This window comes from Homo sapiens, chromosome 14, assembly GCF_000001405.40.
Source record: "Homo sapiens chromosome 14, GRCh38.p14 Primary Assembly".
NCBI lineage: Eukaryota > Metazoa > Chordata > Mammalia > Primates > Hominidae > Homo > Homo sapiens.
In genome coordinates, this window is record NC_000014.9 from 45,529,203 (window position 1) to 45,553,627 (window position 24,425).

The 24,425-nt window shown below is 38.8% G+C and overlaps 1 long non-coding RNA gene across 1 annotated transcript in view, besides 1 other annotated feature; it reads left to right on the top strand.

Moving 5' to 3' along the window:
- LOC105370476 (uncharacterized) overlaps positions 1-24,425 on the top strand; it is a 166,495-nt gene that overhangs the window by 125,850 nt on the left and 16,220 nt on the right. The window lies entirely within an intron of this gene.
- Positions 22,634-23,416: an enhancer, noted in NCBI's record as "NANOG-H3K27ac hESC enhancer chr14:46021039-46021821 (GRCh37/hg19 assembly coordinates)". NCBI's record gives its function as "activates a minimal SCP1, AML or CMV promoter by ChIP-STARR-seq in primed H9 embryonic stem cells {active_cell/tissue: H9 hESC(primed)}" and the evidence as "EXISTENCE:reporter gene assay evidence [ECO:0000049][PMID:30033119]".

The following is a 24,425-nucleotide window of genomic DNA, read 5'->3' on the forward strand; positions in this document are numbered from 1 at the left end:
CATAAAGAGCAAAAATCATATGATCATATCAGCAGATGTAGAAAAAGCCTTTGATAAAATCCAACATTCTTCCATGATAAAAACCCTCAACAGACTAGACATCAAAGGAACATACCTCAAAATAATAAGAGCTATCTATGACAAATCCAGAGCCAACCAGCGTCATACTGAATGGGCAAAAGCTTGAACTATTTTCCTTGAGAACTGGAACAAGACAAGAATGCCCACTTTCACCATTTGTATTCAACACAGCACTGAAAATTTTAGCCAGAGCGATCAGGCAAGAAAAATAAATGAAAGGCATCCAAATAGGAATAGAGGAAGTTAAAAGATCTATATTCACAGATGATAGAATTCTATACCTAGAAAACCGCATAGATTCAGTCAAGAGGCTCCAAGAAGATTTAATGGCTCCTAAATGATTATTTAATCATTTAAATACATGATTTCAATAGCGTTTTGGGATACAAAATCAATGTACAAAATTCAGTAGCATGTCTATACGCTACAAACATCTAAGCTGAGAGTGAATCAAGAACCCAATCCCACTCACAACTGTTACTAAGAAAATCAAATTCCTAGGAATACAACTAACCTAGAAGGTGAAAGAGCTGTACAAGGACAACTACAAAACACTGTTGAAAGAAATCAGAGATGATGAAAATAAATGAAAAAACATCCCATGCTCATTGATTGGAAGAATTTATATTGTAAAAATTGTCATACTCCCCAAAGCAATTTACAGATTCAGTGTTATTCTTGCCAATCTACCAATGTCATTCTTCACAGAATTAAAAAAAAAGCTATTGTAAAATTCATATAGAACCAAAAAATAGCCAGAACAGCCAAAGCAATCCTAAGCAAAAGGAACAAAGCTGGAGGCATCACACTACCTGATTTTAAACCATACCATAAAGCTACAGAAACCAAAACAGCTTGGTGCAGGTACAAAAACAGACACATACCAATGGAACAGAATAGAAAACTCAGAAATAAAGCCACACACCTACAACAATCTGATCTTTAACACAGTTGATAAAACCAAGCAAGGGGAAAAGGAATCCCTATTCAACAAATGGTACTGGGATAACTGGCTAGCCATATTTAGAATTTTGAAGCTGTACCCCTACATTTCAACATATACAAAAATTAACTCAAATGGATTAATGTTGTAAGTGTAAGACCTCAAGCTATAAAAATCCTAGAAGAAAATTTAGGAAATACTCTTCTTGATGTTAGCCTTGGCAAGGAATTTTTGACTAAGTCCCCAAAAGCAATTGCAACAAAGCCAAAAGTAGACAAGTAGAACCTAATTAAACATTGCTTCTGCACAGCAAAAGAAACAGATGATCTACAGAATGAGAGAAGATATTTGCAAACTGTGAATCTGACAAAGGCCTAGTATCCAGAATCTATAAGGAACTTAAACAAATCAAGAAGCGAAAAACAAATAACCCCATTAAAAAGTGAGCAAAGGATATAAAGAGACGCTTCTCAAAAGAAGACATACATGTGGCCAACAAACATATGAAAAAATGCTCAGCATCAGTAATCATTAGAGAAATGCAAATCAAAACCACAATGAGATGCCATCTCACACTAGTCAGGAAGGCTACTATTAAAAAGTCAGAAAAATAACAGATCCTAGAGAGGTTGTGGAGAAAGGGGAACACTTACACACGGTTAATGGGAATATGAATTAGTTATTTCACTGTGGAAAGCAGTCTGAAGATTCCTCAAAGAACTTAAAACAGAGTCACCATTTGACCCAACAATCCCGTTACTGGGTATATATCTAAAAGAAAATAAATTATTGTACTAAAAAGACACATGCACTCATATGCTTATTTCTACACTATTCACAATAGTGAGGACATGAAATCAACCCAGGCTCCTATCAATGGTAGATTGGATAAAGGAAATGTGGTAGATATATACTATGGACTACTATGTAGCCATAACAAAGAATGAAGTCATGTCCTTTTCAGCAACGTAGATAGAGCTGGGGGCCATGAATCATAAACAAATTAATGCAGAAACAGAAAACCAAATGCTACATGTTCTTACTTGTAAGTAGGAGTGAAGCATTCAGCACACATGGACATAAATATGAGAAAAATAGACACTATGCACTACTAGAGGGTGGGTTTAAAAACTACCTATTGGGCATTTTGCTCACCACCAGAATGTTGGGATTTGTCCGCCAAACCTCAGCATTATGCAATAGTCTGACATAACAATTCTGCACATGTAACCCCTGTATTTAAAATAAAAGTTGAAATAAAAAATTGATTAAGGTTTGTGTTGTGTTCTAGCATGTGATATATCCTGGAGAATTTTCCATGTGTGCTGGAGAAGAATGTTTACTGTTTTGCTTTTTGTGAAAAGTTCTGTATATGTCTGTTAGATATATTTAGTCTACAGTGTTAAGTCTGCTGTTTTTTAAATTGATGTTGTCTGGATGTTCTGTCTATTATTGAAAGTGGGGTACTGGAGTAGCCAACTATCATTGTATTGCTGTCAATTTCTCCTTTCAGATTTGTTAATATTTGTTTTATATACTTAAGTGCTCTGATGTTGGCTGCACATATATTTATAATCACCATGTCTTCCTATTGAATTGACCCTTTTATCAGTATGTAATCATTATATAATTATCATTATATCTTCTTTGTCTCTACAGACAGTTTTTGACTTAAAGTCTACTTTGTCTGATATAAATACAGCCACTCTTGCTTCCTTTTCATTACCATTTGCATGGAATATCTTTTTCCCTCCTTCCACTTTCAGCCCATGTGTGTCCTTGAATCTAAAGTGTGTTTCTTAGAGAAATTATTAATGAACACAGTGAAATAACTAATTTTTTCCAAACTTTTAAGCATAAGTTATATATCAATAATTTTTAGAATTAGAAATCAGTTTCAACTTTTTATTAAAAGATCTGGATGTGGTACCATTTATATTTTTACTGGATATTAATAAGCTTTCAAGTACTTAACATATTTTTAAAAATAAATTTTAGTAATTCTTATTGTTTTTTCAGTCTGAATTATGAGGTTGTGGTAAGTTATGTAATTACACTTGAGATATATTGACTGTTTTAAATGAACAAATAACTTCCTATAATCCTTTGTTGGTAGCAGAGAGATAGATAGGACATATATAGAAATACCGTAGACGTAAGTAAATGAAGGATAATGTGACATGAAGGTGTCCAAATGCATCCCAGCTGCCAACGTGTTGATCCCTGTAATACATTACTACTTTAGGTTAAAATACAAAATACCTCTGATAATCCTAACTATATCAAGCTACTCTTAGCCAATGATGTTAACTAGAATGAATGTCTTAATACATGTGTTTGTTTACTCTCATATTGCCATCAAAATGGGGAGAGGATAGGACCTAGAGAGAGGCATTCAGGTAATAAGAAAGGCACTAATCTCTAGAGAAGTAGGAAAAAGAACAGGTGAATACAAGGTTCACCAAGGGAGGACATTGAAAGTAAAGTTTTGCATTTTGGCTAAAAGTTTGTGTGTGTTGATTAGGTGGGGGATGTGGTAGAAGGTGGAATAAAGATACTCTACAAGGTTTTGTTATCAGGGTGATGCTGTCCTCGTACAGTGAGTTAGGGAGGAGTCCCTCCTTTTTAATTTTTTGGAACAGTTTCAGTAGAAATGGTACCAGCTCATCATTGTACATCTGGTAGAATTCAACTCTGAATCCATCTGGTCCTGGACTTTTTTTGGTTGGTAAGCTATTGATACTCCCTCGATTTCAGAACTTGTTATTGGTTTATTCAGGGATGGCATTCAATTTCTACCTGGTTCAGTCTTGGGAGGGTGTGTGTGTCCAGTAATTTATCCATTTCTTCTAGATTTTTTATTTAAGTGAATAGAAGTGTTCATAATACTCTCTGATGTTTATTTGTATTTCTGGGGGTCAGTGCTGATATCCCCCTTGTCACTTCCAATTGTGTTTATTTGAATCTTCTCTCTTTTCTTCTTTATTAGTCTAGCTAGCAGTCTATTTTATTATTTTTTTCCAAAAAAATCAGCTCCTGGATTTGTTGATTTTTTGAAGGGCTTTTTATGTCTCTGTCTCCTTCATTTCAGTTCTGATATTGGTTATTTCTTGTCTCCAGCTAGCTTTGGGATTTGTTTACTCTTGGTTCTCTAGTTCCTTTAGTTGTGATGTTAGGTTGCTAACTTGAGATCTTTCTAGCTTTTCGATGTAGGCATTTAGTGCTATAAATTCCTCTCTTAGCACTGCCTTAGCTGCATCCCAGAGATTCTGGTATGTTATATCTTTGTTCTCATTAGTTTCAAAGAACTTACTGATTTCTTCCTAATTTCATTTTTTACCCCAAAGTCATTCAAGAGCAGGTTGTTCAATTTCCATGTAGTTGTATGGTTTTGAGCGACTTTCTTAATCTTGATTTCTAATTTGATTGCACTGAGGTCTGAGAGACTGTTATGATTTCAGTTCTTTTGCATTTGCTGAGGAGTGTTTTACTTCTGATTATGTGATTAATTTTAGAGTTGGTGCCATGTGGCAATGAGAAGAATGTATATTCTGTTTTTTTGGGTGGAGAGTTCTGTAGATATATATTTTATTAGTCCATTCTCAAACTGCTGTAAACATGCTACCTGAGACTGAGTAATTTATAAACAAAGGAGATTTAATTGACTCACAGTTCTGTGTGGCTGGGGAGGCCTCAGGAAACTTACAATCATGGAAGAAAGCGAAGTGGAAGGAAGGACATTCTTCACATGGCAACAGGAGAGAGAAGAGCGAGCAAAGAAGAAACTCACCAAACACTTATAAAACTATCAGATCTCACGAAAACTCACTATCATGAGAACAGCGTGGGAGAAACCACTCCCATGATCCAACAAACTCCCACCAGGTTCTTTCCTCAACACCTGGGGATTATAATTCAAGATGAGATTTGGGTGGAGACACAAAGCCAAACCATATCATCTATCAAGTCCACTTGATCCAGAGCTGAGTTCGGGTCCTAAATTTCTTTGTTTATTGTCAGTGGGGTGTTAAAGTCTTCCACTATTATTTTGTGGTAGTCTATTTCTCTTGGAAGGTTTCTAAGAACTTGCTTTATGAATCTGCTTGCTCCCGTATTGGGTGCATATATATTTAGGATAGTTACCTTTTTTTTTTGTTGAATTGAACCCTTTACTATTACATAATACCTTTCTTTGTCTTTTTTGATCTTTGTTGGTTTAAAGTCTGTTTGTCAAAAACTAGGACTGCAACCCCTGCTTTTTGCTGTTTTCCTTTTGCTCTGGAAATATTCTTCCATCCCTTTATTTTGAGCCTAAGTGTGTCCTATCATGTGAGATGGGTCTCTAGAAGACAGCATATCATTGGGTGTTGGTTCTTTATTCAGCTTTCAGTTCTGTGTCTTTTAATTGGGACATTTAGCTCATTTACATTTAAGGTTAATATTGTTATGTGTGGATTTGATCCTGTCATCGTGATGCTAATTGATTATTTTGCAGACTGGCTTATGTGGTTGCTTCATAGCATCACATGTCTGTGTACCTCAATGTGTTTTTGTAGTGGCTGGTAAAGGTTTTTCCTTTCCATAGTTAGTGCTTCCTTCAGGAGCTCTTATAAGGCAGGACTGATGGTAACAACTTCCCTCTGCATTTGCTTGTCTGAAAGGGATCTTATTTCTCCTTCATTTATGAGGCTTAGTTTGGCCAGATATAAAATTCTGGGCTGGAAATTCTTTTCTTTAAGAATGTTTATTATTTGCCCTCAATCTCTTCTGGCTTGTAGGGTTTTCACTGAAAGGGCCACAGTGAGTCTGATGGGCTTCCCTTTTTAGGTGTCCTGGCTTTTCTCTCAGACTGTCCCTAATATTTTTTCTTCTATTTTGACCTTAGAGAATCTGATGATTATGTGTGTTGGGGATGATCTCATGGAGTATCTTACTGGGGTTCTCTGTATTTCCTAAATTTGAATGTTAGCCTGTCTAGCTAGGTTGAGGAGGTTCTCCTGGATGATGTACTGAAAATATGTTTTCCAAATTTGTTCCATTTTCCCCATCTCTTTCATGTACCCTAATCAATTGTAGATTCAATTTGTTTTACATAATTCCATATTTCTTGTAGGCTTTGTTTATTCCTTTTCATTCTTTTCTCTCCATTCTTGTCTTCCTGTCTTATTTCAGAAATATGGTCTTCAAGCTCTGATATTCTTTCCTCTGCTTGGTCTATTCTGCTATTAATATTTGTGATTACATTGTGAAGTTCTTGTAGTGTGTTTCTCAGCTCTATCAGGTAGATTATGTTCCTCTCTCTACTGGCTATTTTGATTGTTAGCTCCTGCATTGTTTTGTCATGTTTCTTAGCTTCTTTGCATTGGGTTACAATATGGTCCTTTAGCTCAGCAAAGTTTTTCCTTATCCACATTCTGATGCCTACTTCTGCCTTTTTAGCCATCTCAGCCTCAACCCATTTCTGAACCCTTGCTGGAGAGGTGTTGTGGTCATTTAGAGGAAAGGGACCACTCTGGCTTTTCAAGTTTTCAGCATTTTGCCTGATCCTTTCTCATATTTTTGGCTTATCTACCTTCGATCTTTGAGGTTGCTGACCTTTGGGTGAGGTTTTTGTGTTTGTCGTTGTTGTTTGTTTGTTTTTGTTTTAATACTCTTCTGTGGGGCTGCTATGGTTTTCTGAGAGTCCCCTCCAGACCCTAGTCACCTCAGTTTTTCCATTACCTGGAGGTATCATTAGTGAAGGATGTGAAACAGCAAAGTTGGCAGCCTGCCCCTTCTGCTGGAAGCTCTGTCCCATAGGGGTATTGACCTATTGCTGGCCTGAACATGCCTGTAGGAGGTGGCTGGAGATCCCAGTTGGAAGGTCTCATCCAGTCAGGAGGAACAGGATTAGGACCTGCTTAAAGGAGCAGTCTGGCTGCATTTTGGTAGAGCAGCTGTGCAGTGTTGAGGATCCCTTCAGCTTCTGATCAGTTTGGGCTCTCCAAGGCCACATGATGGACTGGCTGAGATGCTGAAACAGCAAAGGAGGTGGCCTGCCCTGCACTCCCAGGCACTCTGTCCCAAGGAGAAATTAGATCTCTGTTAGCTGTAGAACATGGGTTGGGGTGGCTGGGGGCCTTAGCTGGGAGGACTCAGGAGGAATGGATCTGGGTAGCATTTATAGAAGCAGTCTGGCCACACCTTGACAAACAGCTGATGAACCACCTCTGCCCCGGGTTGGCTTGGACTTCCAAAGCCTGCAGGCTGAAACGGCAGAGCTGCCAAAGATGGCCACTAGCTTCTCCCCTCAGGCGCTTGGTACCAGGGAGAAATCAGAACTGTGTCTGTAGAATACAGGTGGGGATAGCTGGAGGTTATCCCAGCTGGGAGGACCCACCCCATAAGGAAGAGTGGATTGGGGTCCCATTTAAAGAAGAAGTCTGGCCATGCCTTGACAAAGCAGCTGTGCTGTGCTGGGTGACCACTTCTGCCCTGGTTGGCTTGGACTCTCCAAAGCCCACAGGCTAGAACAGCTGAGTGGTCCAAACAACCAAGGTTGTGGCCTACCCCTCTCCCTGGACACTCCATTCACAGAGAGATCAGAGCTCCATCTGTAGAATATGGGCAGGTGGGGTAGCTGAAGGCCGTGGCTGGGAGGCCCCACTCAGTGAGAAGGAATGGATCAGGGATCCACTCAAAGAAGCAGTTTAGCCACGTTCTAGCAAAGCAGCTGTGCTGTGCTGGGGGGACCCTTTCTCATCTGGACCATTTGGACTCTCCAAAGCCCACAGGCTGGAATGGCTGAGTTGGCAAAACAGCAGAGATGGCGGCCTGCCTCTACCCCCAGGCACTCTGTCCCATCTCAGGCAGGCCTCACCCTGTTGCCGGTGGCTGGCTGGAATTCCAAGCCAGTGGGTCTTATCATGTGAGTTGTGGTAGAAGTGGGGCCTGCAGACTGATGCTGCTTGGCCTCCTGGATTCAGTCTCTTTCCTAGGGGCATATATGGACCTCCCACTTTGCCAGGGATCCTGGGGCTGGAGTATGTAAAGCCCCTGGCTCTCTGTGCATACATGAGCAGCTGATTTGCTGAGACTCCACACAGCTCTGTGTGTTAGACCCAAGGCCCTGGTGGCATGGACTCATGAGGGTATCTCCTGATCTGAGGGTTGCGAAGATCCATGGGAGAATTGTGGCTTCCCAGGCTTGCACATTCTCTCACAGCTTCCATTCACTGGGAGTGGGGGTCCTTTGGCTCTGTATCACTCCCTGGTGGGCTGTCACCTCCCCCTGTTTTTCTTCATTCTCCATGGGTTGAGCTGTTTTCCTGGTCAGTCCCAATGTGAATACCTGGATATCTCAGTTGAAGGTGCTGTATTCACTCGCCTCTTCTGTTTCTCTCTGTGAGAGCCACACACCACTGCTTCCACTTGGCCATTTTGACCCCCTCCAAATTATGACTTTCAAATCTACCAGTGTTGTATTGTTGCCATCAAGGATATTTTTCTTTTAAGTGACTGCTTAATACTAATTCCACGTCATGTAGTGATTTCTGAAATTGTGATAAAGATACAAAACATCTGCTGCCTTTTGCAGAAAATTGTGCCTCAGGGGCAAACCAGGTTTAGATGTAATCGAAGTTCGTCCTTTGGATCCTTATTTTGCCACAGACCCACTGTGTGACTTGAATTAAACCCATTCTTTGTATTCATAATTTACTGAAGAAGCAGACTAATTTGGTCCCACTTGACAAACAAGGTTGTTATTTGTGAGTGATTTCTATTATCTAATACAAATTTAGCACACAGAGAAATTAATGAAATAAAACATTTATTTAAGTCATAAAAAGTGAAATAAAGAATTGAGAAAATTATCTGCAATAATTCAGACCTAGAGTAACTTTCACCTAAATTTTGAAATAATGGAGAAAAATATTATGTGAACTTTTTGTTTTGCTTACATTTTCTGTTCAATTGCTTTATCTGCTGTGTGTATAAGGAAACCTTCCACTCATCCATCTTCTATTCTACAAATGTTTATTGAACACCTTGTCTGGCTAAGAACTGGAAATATGTGGTGAGATGAATAATACCATCCCTCCAGAAACTTGTTGTATTGCAGAACTCTTAGTCTCTTAGTAACTGGTTTTATTACTTTGTAAAATATAAATATAATACAGATAAATTTAAGCAGTTTTAAGGCCCACGCTTGAGATGTTAGCCGTCAAGAACAAAACCAGATCAATTGCCAAATATTCTGAAAAGCAATAAAATATTCACTTGAGTCTCTTGAAGCATGCCAAGTGGGATTGAAATAATAAATCTCAGCTAAATCTCCCACTCCCACCACTTCTCACACGAATGAACTCCGTCCCTTAAATCTCTGAGCTCCCTCTCTCTGAATGCCCTAAAAATTTCTTCAGCTCTTGATTTCTCCCTTCTATATCTCCATATTCTTTTTCCCAGTAACTCTGACTTGTCAGAGTTCCTCAGTTCTTCCCTTGCTCACTCCATTGACTTGGGCCAAAAAAAGACATGTCATAGAGATAGAATCTTCCTTTAGTAAGGGACACACACATCCTTTTTCTCCCATACCATCACCTCCCCACATACTTTGTTTTCTGTAGCATGAAACTTACGAAAGAGTATTTGAGTTAGATTTCTAGGATATCTGAAAATCTGAGAAAAATATATTGTCAAATCTAAAACATAAATTAGTTTATTGTTCCAGTCACTTAATATTAATGAATTGAATATAATAATTTTCTTTTGGTTTAGACCTTCATAACCTTGGCCCAAAGCAGTATGCCTAGGCTAAACCATTTTGCAGTTGTGGAACAGCCAAGTAGGCTATGATATATGTATTATGATTGTTTCATAAACAAATTTATTTTAAAATAACTTTTAAATTTTTAATTACTATGAGTACGTAATAGGTGTATATACGCATGGGGTACATGTATTCTGATAAAGGCATATCATGTATAATAATCACATCATGGTAATTGGGGTATATATCATCTCAAGCATTTACCATTTCTTTGTATTAGGGACATTCCAATTCAACTCTTTTAGTTATTAAAAAACGTACAATAATTATTGTTCACTATAGTCACCTTGTTATGCTATCAAACACTAAATCTTATTCATTCTATTTAACTATATTTTTGGACCCATTAACCATCCCCACTTTTTTTTCTCCTGCCTCCCTCTACTCTTCCTAGCCACTGGTAAGCATCATTCTAGTCTCTATCTGCGTGAGATCAATTGTTTTAATTTTTATCTTTCACATATGAGTGAGAACATGAGAAATTTGTCTTTCTTTGCCTCATTTATTTTACTTAACATAATGTTCTCCAGTTCTACCATGTTGTTGCAAATGACAGGACTGTATTTTATTTAATGGCTGAATAGTATTCCATAGTGTATACGTACTACAGTTTCTTTACCCATTCATCTGTTGATGTACACATAGCTTGATTCCAAATCTTGGCTATTGTGAATAGTGCTACAAAAAACATGGGGGTGCAGATATCGCTTTGACATACTTGTTTCCTTTTTTCTCTCTTTCTTTCTTTCTCCCTCTCTCTCTTTCTTTCTTCTCTCTCTCTTTTTTTTTTTTTGACAGTCTTGTCTGTCACCCAGGTTGGAGTGCAGTGGCACATCTCGGCTCACTGCAACCTCTGTCTCCTGGGTTCAAGCGATTCTCCTGCCTCAGCCTCCCAAGTAGCTGGGATTACAGGCACCTGCCACCATGCCCGGCTAATGTTTTTATATTTTAGTAGAGGTGAGGTTTCACTATGTTTGTCAGGCTGGTCTCGAACTCCTGACCTCAGGTGATCTGCCTGTCTCGGCCTCCCAAAGTGGTGGGATTTCAGGCATGCACCACCATGGCTGGCCTCCTTTCTTTTTAATTTTCTTTTTAGTATGTACTTAGCAGTGAGCTTGCTGGAAATGTTAATACTGTTCACAGTTTTTTTGAGGAACCTCTTTATTGTTCTCCATAGTAGCTGTACTTTTCCATTTCCACCAACAGTGTACAAGGGTTCCCCTTTCTTCACATCCTTTTCAGCATTCATTATTGGCTGTCTTTTGGATGAAAGTGATTTTAACTGGGATAAAATAATCTCTTATTTTAGTTCTGATCTGCATTTCTGAAGACTGATCATTGATCATTGATGATCAATGATGTTGAGCATTTAAAAAAATATACCTGGTTGTGAGTGAATAAACTGTGGTATATGTATATATGATGGCATACTACTCAGCCACAAGATGGAATGAATTAATGGCATTTGCAGCAACCTGGATGGGGTTGGAGACTATTATTCGAAGTGAAGTAACTCAGGAATGGAGAACCAAACATCATATGTTCTCACTCATAACTGGGAGCTAAGGTATAAGAATGATACAAGTGGGTGATATAATGATATAATGATCATAATTATAATGATATAAGTGGATGCAAAGGCATAAGAATGACATAATGAACTTTGGGGATTCGGGGTAAAAGGGTGAAACGGGGATGAGGGATAAAAGACTACAAATAGGGTTGAGTGTATATTGCTCAGGAGATGGGTGCACCAAAATCTCACAAATCACCGCTAAAGAACTTACTCATCTAACCAAATACCATCTGTTCCCCAAAAACCTATGGAAATTAAAAATTAAAAAAAAACTGGTTGCCATTTATATGTCTTCTTTTAAGAAATTTCTATTTATATCTTAGCCCATTTTAAAATCAGATTATTAGTTTTTTCCTATAGAGTTGTTTGAGCTCTTTATGTATTCTGGTTATTAATCCCTTGTCAGATGAGTAGTTTGCAAATATTTTCTCTCATTCTGTGTTGTCTCTTCACTTTGCTGATATTTGTCCTTTGCTGTGCAGAAGCTTTTTAGCTTGATGTGATCTCATTTGTCCATTTTTGCTTTGGTTGCCTGTGCTTCTGAGGTTTTACTCAAGAACTTTTTGCCCAGTCAAATGTCCTAGATAAATTTCCCAATGTTTTATTCTAGTAGTTTCATAGTTTCAGGGCTTATATTTCTCTTTAATCTATTTCAATTTGATTTTGGTATATGGCAAGACATAGGTGTCTAGTTTCATTATTCTCATATGGATAGCCAGTGTTCCAAGGACCATTGATAGAAGACACTGTTTTACCCCAATATATGTTCTTGGCACTTTTGTTGAAAATGAGCACACTGTAAATGTGTGGATTTATTTCTAGGCTCTCTATTCTGTTCCATTTGTCTATCACAAAATGCCAGTACCATGCTGTTTTGACTACTATGGCTCTGTAGTATAATTTGAAGTCAGGTACTGTGATTCATCCAATTTTATACTTTTTGCTCAGAATGGCTCTGGCTATTCTGGGCTTTTTGTGGTTTCATATAAATTTTAGTTTTATTTTATCTATTTCTGTTAGGAATTTCATTGGTATTTTGATAGAGATTGCAGTGAATCTATAGATTGCTTTGGGAAGTATGGATATTTTAACAATATTAATTTTTCTAATCTATGAACATGGAATATCTTTGCATATTTTTGTGTATTCTTTAATTTCTTTATTCAAGTTTTATAGTTTTCATTGTAGAGATTTTTCACTTCCTTGGTTAAGTTTATTCTTAAGAATTTGATTTTATTTGTAGCTAATGCAAATGGCATTACTTTTTGGATTTCTTTTTTTAATAGTTCACTGTTGCCATATAGAAATGCTACTGATTTTTGTATGTTGATTTTGTATTCTCCAACTTTACCAGATTTGTTTATCACTTCTAATAGTTTTTTGGTGGTCTTTAGGTTTTTCTAGATAAAGATCCTGTCAGCTGAAAACAAGGATAATTTCACTTCTTCTATTTCAATTTGGATGTCTTTTTTTTCTTTCTCCTCTCCAATTGCTATAGCTAGGACTTTCAGTACAATGCTGAATAACAATGGTGATAGAGGGCATCCTTGTCTTGTTTCAGATCTTAGAAAAAAGGCTTTTAGTTTTTCCCCATTCAGTATGTGGGTCTGTCATATATGGCTTTTATTGTGTTGAGGTATGTTTCTTTTATAACAGGTTTTTTTGACAGTTTTTATCATGAAGGATTGTTGGATTTTATCAAATGCTTTTTCAGCATTAGTTAAGATAATCATATGGTTTTTGTCCTTCATACTGTTGATGTGAAGTACCACATTTGTTGATTTGTCTATGTTGAACCATTTTTGCATTCCTGGAATAAATCCCACTTGGTTATGATGACTGGTCCTTTTACTGTGTTGATGAATTTGGTTTACTAGTATTTTGTTGAGAATATTTGCATCTATGTTCATCAGGGATACTGATCTATAGTTTTCTTTTTTTTTTAAATGTGTCTTTGTCTGGTTTTGGTATCAGGGTAATACTAGCCTCGGTGAATAAGTTTGGAATGATTACCTCTTCTTCAGTATTTTGGAATAGTTTGAGTAGAATTTGTATTAGTCTTTCCAATAAATGTTTGGCAAAACATGTATTATGACTTCAATCTCATTACTTGTTATTAGCCTGTTCAGGTATTGGATTTCTTTATGGTTCAATCTTAGTCTATGTACATATACATAGACATATGCAACATATATGTATGTGTCTCCTTTTTCATCTTTGATTTTATTTATTTGGGTCTTCTTTTTTTCTAAGACTGGCTAAAGTGTTTTATTTTGTTTATCTTTTTTAAAATCAACTTTTTGTTTCATTGATCTTTTGTATTTTTTTAATATCATTTATTTCTGCTCTCATCTTTGTTACAATTTCTTTTTTTCTACTAATTTTGAGTTTGCTTTGCTTTGTTTTTTTTTTTATTTCTTCAAGATACATTGTTAGGTTGTTTATTTGATGTTTCCTACTTTTTAATGTAGGTGTTTATTGATATAAACTGTCCTCTTACTACGCTTCTGCTGTATCTTATAGGTTTTGGTATGCTGCATTTCTATTTTCATTTGTTCCAAGAAATTTTTAAATTTTCTTCTTAATTTCTTCATCGACCCACTGGTCATTCAAGAGCATATTGTTTAATTTCCATGTGTTTGTATAGTTTCCATAATTCCTGATATGGTTTGGCTCTGTGTCCCCATCCAAATCTCATCTTGAATTGTAATCCCCATGTGTCAAGGGGAGAGACCTGTAATCCCCACATGTCAAGGGAGGGACCTGGTGGGAAGCGATTGGATCATGGGGGCAGTTTCCCCTATGCTGTTGTTGTGGTAGTGAGTGAGTTCTCACAAGATCTGATTGGTTTTATAAGTGTGTGACAGTTCCTTCTTCACTCGCTCACACTCTCTCTCCTGCTGCCTTTGAAGAAGATGCCTGCTTTCCCTTTTGTCATGATTGTGTTTCCAAATTTATAAAGAAAATTTGTCACTAGGAATTGACAAAACTGTAAGTCAATTAAATATCCTTTCTTTATAAATTACCCAGTCCTGGATAGTGTCTTTATAGCAGTGTGAGAATGAACTAATACAGTAAATTGGCACTGAGGTAGTGGGCACTGCTATGAAGATACTTGAAAATGTTAAGAAAATGTGGCACATATACACCATGGAATACTATGCAGCCATAAAAAATGATGAGTTCATGTCCTTTGTAGGGACATGGATGAAGCTGGAAACTATCATTCTCAGCAAACTATCGCAAGGACAAAAAACCAAACACCGCATGTTCTCACTCATAGGTGGGAATTGAACAATGAGAACACATGGACACAGGCAGGGGAACATCACACACCGGGGACTGTTGTGGGGTGGGGGGAGGGATAGCATTAGGAGATATACCTAATGCTAAATGATGAGTTAATGGGTGCAACACACCAACATGGCACATGTATACATATGTAACAAACCTGCACGTTGTGCACATGTACCCTAAAACTTAAAGTATAATAATAATAATAATAATAATAATAAAAGAAAATGTGGAAGTGACTTTGGAACTGGGTAACAGGCAGAGGTTGGAACAGTTTGGATGGCTCAGAAGAAGACAGGAAGATGTGGGAAAGTTTGGAGCTTCTTAAAGACCTGTTGAATGGTTTTGACCAAAATGCTGATAGTGATACGAACAATGAAGTCCAGGCTGAGTGGTCTCAGATGGAGATGAAGAATTTCTTGGAAACCAGAGTGAAAGTCACTTATGCTATGCTTTAGTAGAGTGACTTGTGGCATTTTGCCCCTGCCCTAGAAATCTGTGGAACTTTGAACAACTTGAGTGAGATGATTTAGGGTATCTGGAGGAAGACATTTCTAAGTAGCAAAGTATTCAAGACGTGACCTGGATTATTCTGAAAGTATTCAGTTGTACATATTCACAGAGAAAGAGTTTGAAATTGGAACTTATGTTTAAAAGGGAAACAGAACATAAAAGTTTGGAAAATTTGCAGCCTGATGATGAGATAGAAAAGAAAAACCTATATTCTGGGGAGAAATTTAAGCCAGCTGCAGAAATTTGCATAAGTAATGAGAAATTGAATGTTAATTACCAAGACAATGGGGAAAATGTCTTCAGGCCATCAGAGACCTGGAGGCATAGGAGGAAAAAACTGACCTGGAGGTATAGGAGGAAAAAACTGTTTCATAATCCAGGCCTAGGCCCTTGATGCTTAGTGCAGCCTTGGGGCTTGGTGCCCTTCATCCCAGCTGTGGCTGAAACGGGCCAAGGTACTGCTCTGGCCGTTGCTTCAGAGGGTGCTCTCTCTCTCTCTCTCCTGCTGCCTTTGAAGAAGATGCCTGCTTTCCCTTTTGTCATGATTGTGTTTCCTAATTTATAAAGAAATTCAACCTTTTGTTGAACTGACTGCTTTATCATTATATAATAAGCTTCTCTGTCTCAGTTTTCTTTGTGAAATCTATTTTGTCTCATAAACATAGATAACCCTGCTCTTTTTTGGTTTCTGTTGGCATGAAATATCTTTTTTTATTTCTTTATTTCAATCTGTGTGTCTTGGTAGGCAAACTATGTTTCTTGTAGGCTATAGATTGTTGGGTCTTTTATTAAAAAAATTATCCAGCCACTCTATGTCCTTTGATTGGTTAGTTTAGTCCATTTACATTCAGTGTTGTTATTGATAAGTAAGGAATTACTCCTCTCATTTTGTTATTTGTTTTCTGGTTATTTTATGGTCTTCTCCTCCTTTTTGTCTTTCTTTTAGTGAATATGATTTTCTCAGGTGGTATATTTTGATATCTCAAACTTATAGGACATGTCCTATAAGAAATGCTAAAGAGAGTTTATCAGTCTGAAAGAAAATTATGTTAATGAGCAATAAGAAATTACCTGAAGGTGCAAAGCTCACTGGTAATCGGAATTATGGAGACAAAAATAGAATATTCTAGCACTTTGAATATGTCATGCCATTCTTTCCTGGACCATAAGTTTTCTGCTGAGAAGTCTGCTGCCAGATATATTGAAGCTCATTTGTATGTTATTTGTTTCTTTCTCTTGCTACTTTAGGATCCTTTCTTTTTTTTTTTTATTTTGAATGTTTTACATCTTTTTTTATTTTTTTAATTATTATTATTATACTTTAAGTTTTAGGGTACATGTGCACAATGTGCAGGTTAGTTACATATGTATACATGTGCCATGCTGGTGTGCTGCACCCATTAAGTCGTCATTTAGCATTAGGCATATCGCCTAAAGCTATCCCTCGTCCCTCCCCCCACCCCACAACAGTCCCCAGAGTGTGATGTTCCCCTTCCTGTGTCCATGTGTTCTCATTCTTCAGTTCCCACCTATGAGTGAGGATATGCGGTGTTTGGTTTTTTGTTCTTGCGATAGTTTACTGAGAATGATGATTTCCAATTTCATCCATGTCTCTACAAAGGACATGAACTCATCATTTTTTATGGCTGCATAGTATTCCATGGTGTATATGTGCCACATTTTCTTAATCCAGTCTATCGTTGTTGGACATTTGGGTTGGTTCCAAGTCTTTGCTATTGTGAATAGTGCCGCAGTAAACATACGTGTGCATGTGTCTTTATAGCAGCATGATTTATAGTCCTTTGGGTATATACCCAGTAATGGGATGGCTGGGTCAAATGGTATTTCTAGTTCTAGATCCCTGAAGAATCGCCACACTGACTTCCACAATGGTTGAACTAGTTTAGAGTCCCACCAACAGTGTAAAAGTGTTCCTATTTCTCCACATCCTCTCCAGCACCTGTTGTTTCCTGACTTTTTAATGATTGCCATTCTAACTGGTGTGAGATGGTATCTCATTGTGGTTTTGATTTGCATTTCTCTGATGGCCAGTGATGATGAGCATTTTTTCATGTGTCTGTTGGCTGCATAAATGTCTTTTACCACTTTTTGAGAAGTGTCTGTTCATGTCCTTCACCCACTTTTTGATGGGGTTGTTTGTTTTTTTCTTGTAAATTTGTTTGAGTTCATTGTAGATTCTGGATATTAGTCCTTTATCAGATGAGTAGGTTGCGAAAATGTTCTCCCATTCTGTAGGTTGCCTGTTCACTTTGATGGTAGTTTCTTTTGCTGTGCAGAAGTTCTTTAGTTTAATTAGATCCCATTTTTCAATTTTGGCTTTTGTTGCCATTGCTTTTGGTGTTTTAGACATGAAGTCCTTGCCCATGCCTATGTCCTGAATGGTAATGCCTAGGTTTTCTTCTAGGGTTTTTATGGTTTTAGGTCTAACATGTAAGTCTTTAATCCATCTTGAATTAATTTTTGTATAAGGTGTAAGGAAGGGATCCAGTTTCAGCTTTCTACATATGGCTAGCCAGTTTTCCCAGCACCATTTATTAAATAGGGAATCCTTTCCCCATTGCTTATTTTTCTCAGGTTTGTCAAAGATCAGATAGTTGTAGATATGCAGCGTTATTTCTGAGGGCTCTGTTCTGTTCCATTGATCTATATCTCTGTTTTGGTACCAGTACCGTGCTGTTTTGGTTACTGTAGCCTTGTAGTATAGTTTGAAGTCAGGTAGTGTGATGCCTCCAGCTTTGTTCTTTTGGCTTAGGATTGACTTGGCGATGCGGGCTCTTTTTTGGTTCCATATGAACTTTAAAGTAGCTTTTTCCAATTCTGTGAAGAAAGGCATTGGTAGCTTGATGGGGATGGCATTGAATCTATAAATTACCTTGGGCAGTATGGCCATTTTCACAATATTGATTCTTCCTACCCATGAGCATGGAATGTTCTTCCATTTCTTTGTATCCTCTCTTATTTCATTGAGCAGTGGTTTGTAATTCTCCTTGAAGAGGTCCTTCACATCCCTTGTAAGTTGGATTCCTAAGTATTTTATTCTCTTTGAAGCAATTGTGAATGGGAGTTCACTCATGATTTGGCTCTCTGTTTGTCTGTTATTGCTGTATAAGAATGCTTGTGATTTTTGCACATTGATTTTGTATCCTGAGACTTTGCCGAAGTTGCTTATCAGCTTAAGGAGATTTTGGGCTGAGACAATGGGGTTTTCTAGATATACAATCATGTCATCTGCAAACAGGGACAATTTGACTTCCTCTTTTCCTAATTGAATACCCTTTATTTCCTTCTCCTGCCTGATTGCCCTGGCCAGAACTTCCAACACTATGTTGAATAGGAGTGGTGAGAGAGGGCATCCCTGTCTTGTGCCAGTTTTCAAAGGGAATGCTTCCAGTTTTTGCCCATTCAGTATGATATTGGCTATGGGTTTGTCATAGATAGCTCTTATTATTTTGAGATACGTCCCATGAATACCTAATTTATTGAGAGTTTTTAGCATGAAGGGTTGTTGAATTTTGTCAAAGGCCTTTTCTGCATCTATTGAGATAATCATGTGGTTTTTGTCTTTGGTTCTGTTTATATGCTGGATTACATTTATTGATTTGCATTTGTTGAACCAGCCTTGCATCCCAGGGATGAAGCTGAGTTGATCATGCTGGATAAGCTTTTTGATGTTCTGCTGGATTCAGTTTGCCAGTATTTTACTGAGGATTTTTGCATCAATGTTCATCAAGGATATTGGTCTAAAATTCTCTTTTTTCGTTGTGTCTCTGCCTGGCTTTGGTATCAGGATGATGCTGGCCTCATAAAATGAGTTAGGGAGGATTCCCTCTTTTTCTATTGATTGGAATAGTTTCAGAAGGAATGGTACCAGTTCCTCCTTGTACCTCTGGTAGAATTCGGCTGTGAATCCATCTGGTCCTGGACTCTTTTTGGTTGGTAAGCTATTGATTATTGCCTCAATTTCAGATCCTGTTATTGGTCTATTCAGAGATTCAACTTCTTCCTGGTTTAGTGTTGGGAGGGTGTATGTGTCGAGGAATTTATCCGTTTCTTCTAGATTTTCTAGTTTATTTGCGTAGAGGTGTTTGTAGTATTCTCTGATGGTAGTTTGTATTTCTATGGGATCAGTGGTGATATCCCCTTTATCATTTTGTATTGCGTCTATTTGATTCTTTTCTCTTTTCTTCTTTATTAGTCTTGCTAGCAGTCTATGAATTTTGTTGATCCTTTCAAAAAACCAGCTCCTGGATTCATTAATTTTTTGAAGGGTTTTTTGTGTCTCTATTTCCTTCAGTTCTGCTCTGATTTTAGTTATTTCTTGCCTTCTGCTAGCTTTTGAACGTGTTTGCTCTTGCTTTTCTAGTTCTTTTAATTGTGATGTTAGGCTGTCAATTTTGGATCTTTCCTGCTTTCTCTTGTGGGCATTTAGTGCTATAAATTTCCCTCTACACACTGCTTTAAATGTGTCCCAGAGATTCTGGTATGTTGTGTCTTTGTTCTCATTGGTTTCAAAGAACATCTTCATTTCTGCCTTCATTTCTTTATGTACCCAGTAGTCATTCAGGAGCAGGTTGTTCAGTTTCCATGTAGTTGAGCGGTTTTGAGTGATTTTCTGAATCCTAAGTTCTAGTTTGATTGCACTGTGGTCTGAGAGACAGTTTGTTATAATTTCTGTTCTTTTACATTTGCTGAGGAGAGCTTTACTTCCAAGTATGTGGTCAGTTTTGGAATAGGTATGGTGTGGTGCTGAAAAAAATGTATGTTCTTTTGATTTAGGATGGAGAGTTCTGTAGATGTCTATTAGGTGTGCTTGGTGCAGAGCTGAGTTCAATTCCTGAGTATCCTTGTTAATTTTCTGTCTCGTTGATCTGTCTAATGTTGACAGTGGGGTGTTAAAGTCTCCCATTATTATTGTGTGGGAGTCTAAGTCTCTTTGTAGGTCACTCAGGACTTGCTTTGTGAATCTGGGTGCTCCTGTATTGGGTGCATATATATTTAGGATAGTTAGCTCTTCTTGTTGAATTGATCCCTTTACCATTATGTAATGGCCTTCTTTGTCTCTTTTTATCTTTGTTGGTTTAAAGTCTGTTTTATCAGAGACTAGGATTGCAACCCCCACCTTTTTTTGCTTTCCATTTGCTTGGTAGATCTTCCTCCATCCTTTTATTTTGAGCCTATGTGTGTCTCTGCACATGAGATGTGTTTCCTGAATACAGCACACTGATGGGTCTTGACTCTTTATCCAATTTGCCAGTCTGTGTCTTTTAATTGGAGCATTGAACCCATTTACATTTAAAGTTAATATTGTTATGTGTGAATTTGATCCTGTCATTATGATGTTAGCTGGTTATTTTGCTCGTTAGGTGATGCAGTTTCTTCCTAGCCTCGATGGTCTTTACAATTTGGCATGATTTTTCAGTGGCTGGTACCACTTGTTCCTTTCCACGTTTAGTGCTTCCTTCAGGACCTCTTTTAGGGCAGGCCTGGTGATGACAAAATCTCTCAGCATTTGCTTGTCTGTAAAGTATTTTATTTCTCCTCCACTTACAAAGCTTAGTTTGGCTGGATATGAAATTCTGGGTTGAAAATTATTTTCTTTAAGAATGTTGAATATTGGCCCCCACTCTCTTCTTGCTTGTAGAGTTTCTGCCGAGAGATCCACTGTTAGTCTGATGGGCTTCCCTTTGTGGGTAACCCGACCTTTCTCTCTGGCTGCCCTTAACATTTTTTCCTTCATTTCAACTTTGGTGAATCTGACAATTATGTGTCTTGGGGTTGCTCTTCTCGAGGAGTATCTTTGTGGCATTCTGTGTATTTCCTGAATCTGAATGTTGGCCTGCCTTGCTAGATTGGGGAAGTTCTCCTGGATAATATCCTGCAGCGTGTTTTCCAACTTGGTTGCATTCTCCCCATCACTTTCAGGTACACCAATCAGATGTAGATTTGGTCTTTTCACATAGTCCCATATTTCTTGGAGGCTTTGTTCTTTTCTTTTTATTCTTTTTTCTCTAAACTTCCTTTCTCACTTCATTTCATTCATTTCACCTGCCATCACTGATACCCTTTCTTCCAGTTGATCACATCGGCTCCTGAGGCTTCTGCATTCTTCACGTAGTTCTCGAGCCTTGGCTTTCAGCTCCATCATCTCCTTTAAGCACTTCTCTGTATTGGTTATTCTAGTTATACATTCGTCTAAATTTTTTTCAAAGTTTTCAAATTCTTTGCCTTTGGTTTGAGTTTCCTCCTGTAGCTCAGAGTAATTTGATCGTCTGAAGCCTTCTTCTCTCAACTCGTCAAAGTCATTCTCCATCCAGCTTTGTTCTGTTGCTGATGAGGAGCTGCTTTCCTTTGGAGGAGGAGAGGCGCTCTGCTTTTTAGAGTTTCCAGTTTTTCCGCTCTGTTTTTTCCCCATCTTTGTGGTTTTATCTACTTTTGGTCTCTGATGATGGTGATGTACAGATGGGTTTTTGGTGTGGATGTCCTTTCTGTTTGTTAGTTTTCCTTCTAACAGACAGGACCCTCAGCTGCAGGTCTGTTGGAGTTTGCTAGAGGTCCACTCCAGACCCTGTTTGCCTGGGTACCAGCAGTGGTGGCTGCAGAACAGCGGATTTTCGTGAACCGCGAATGCTGCTGTCTGATCCTTCCACTGGAAGTTTTATCTCAGAGGAGTACCCGGCCAGCCGTGTGAGGTGTCAGTCTGCCCCTACTGGTGGGTGCCTCCCAGTTAGGCTGCTCGGGGGTCAGGGGTCAGGGACCCACTTGAGGAGGCAGTCTGCCCATTGTCAGATCTCCAGCTGCGTGCTGGGAGAACCACTGCTCTCTTCAAAGCTGTCAGACAGGGACATTAAAGTCTGCAGAGTTTACTGCTGTCTTTTTGTTTGTCTGTGCCCTGCCCCCAGAGGTGGAGCCTACAGAGGCAGGCAGGCCTCCTTGAGCTGTGGTGGGCTCCACCCAGTTCGAGCTGCCGGGCTGCTTTGTTTACCTAAGCAAGCCTGGGCAATGGCAGGCGCCCCTCCCCCAGCCTCGCTGCCACCTTGCAGTTTGATCTCAGACTGCTGTGCTAGGAATCAGCGAGACTCCTTGGGTGTAGGATCCTCAGAGCCATGTGTGGGATATAATCTCCTTCTGCGCCGTTTTTTAAGCCCATCGGAAAAGCGCAGTATTAGGTTGGGAGTGACCTAATTTTCCAGGTGCTGTCTGCCACCCCTTTCTTTGATTAGGAAAGGGAACTTCCTGACCCCTTGCGCTTCCCGAGTGAGGCAATGCCTCACCCTGCTTCAGCTCGCGCACAGTGTGCTGCACCCCCTGTCCTGCGCCCACTGTCTGGCACTCCCTAGTGAGATGAACCCGGTACCTCATATGGAAATGCAGAAATCACCCGTCTTCTGCGTCGCTCATGCAGGGAGCTGTAGACCGGAGCTGTTTCTATTCGGCCGTCTTGGCTCCAGCCAGGATCCTTTCTTATCCATGACTTTTGAGAGTTTGATTAGTAAATGCCTTGAAATAGTCTTCTTTGGGTTAAAATTGCTTGGTGTTCCATGACCTTCTTGTAGCTGGATATCTTTCTCTTAAGTTGGGAGAATTTTCTGTTATTATTTATTTGAATACATTTCTACCCTGATCTGTCTCTCTAGTTTCTCTTTCAGGCCAATAACTATTGGATTTTCCTTTTGAAGTTATTTTTTAAATCCTGGAAATGTGTTTAATTCTTTTTTATTCTTTTCTCTTTTGTTTCCTCTGGCTGTGTATTTTCAAATAGACTGCCTGCAAGATCACTAATTCTTTCCTTTGCTTGACCATTTCTGCTAATGAGAGACCCTGATGCATTTTTAATGTATCAATTGAGTTTTCCAGCTCCAGAATTTCTGCTTGAATTTTTTTTGTTATTTCAATCTCCGTTAAATTCCTCTGATAGGATTCTAAATTCCTTCTCTTTGTTTTCTTGAAGCTCATTGAGCTTTCTCAGAATGGCTAGTTTGAATTCTCTGTCTGAAAGGTCACATATCTCTGTCTCTCCATGATTGGTTGTTGGTGCCTTATTTAGTTCATTTGGTGAGGTCATGTTTTCCTGGATTTTTTTATGCTTTTGGATAATTGTCAATGTCTGGGTATTAAAGAATTAGGTATTTAATCTTTGAAGTCTGGACTTCATCCTTCTTAAGAATGCTTTCCAGAAATTCAAAGGGAATTTTGTGTTGTGATCTAAGTCTTTGGTCACTGCAGGTCTATCTGCAGTATGAAGTGCTCCAAGGCCAGGAATACTGTGGCTCTTGCAGACTCTTACACCTTGGGTTGCTTCGATACCATTGAGGAGAATTCCCCACATTACCTGGCAGTCTTTCATTCTTTTCATTCGCATTCCCCCAAAGAGAAAGAGTCTCTCTCTCCATGCTGGAGTGCCTGAAGTTGGGGGATAGGTGACCCAAGCACCCTCATGGCCACTATAGCTGGGACTGCAGTGGGTCACACCTGAAGCCTGCACATTTCTGGGTCCTGTCCAAGGCCCATGGTGACTACTGCCTAGATACTGCTGATTTTATTCAAAGCCTAAGAGCTCTTTAGTAAGCCAGTAGTAAATCCTGCCAGTAATGGATCCTTTCCTTCCATGCAGGACGTTCCCTTCTGGCCCAGGGTAAGTCTAGAAATGCTGTCCAGGAGCTAGGGCTTGGAATTGGGGGCTTCAGGAATCTGCTTGGTGCTTTAATGTGGCTGACCTGGTACCCAAGTTGCAAGACAAAGTTCTCTTTACTCTTCCCTCTCCTTTCTACAAGTGAAAGGAGTCTCTCCTGAGCTGCACTTCCTGGAGATGAGGTAGAGGTGATCCAAGCACTTCCTTGGCTAACACAACTGGTGTCTCGCTGGATTGCATGCATTCCAATTCCACTGGCTGTGAATCTAGTGCAGCAACTGGACTTTCCCAAGATTGCAGTCCTTGTAGCCACACTACCTTTCAAATATATTCAAGACCTCAGAGCTCTTTAGTTAGTTGGTGTTGTAGCTAGCCAGAACTTGGATTCCTGCTGCTGTGACAGAGAATTCCTTTTAGCTGGTGCTAGTTTAAATGCTCCCTCTGTGGGCACTGACAGAATTCTTCCCTGTGTTGTGTTCTGCTGTGACAGGGCTATGCTGAGTTCCAGTGCAAAGTCCCAGAATCTGTTCACTCTACTTCCCCTGTACACACAGATTCT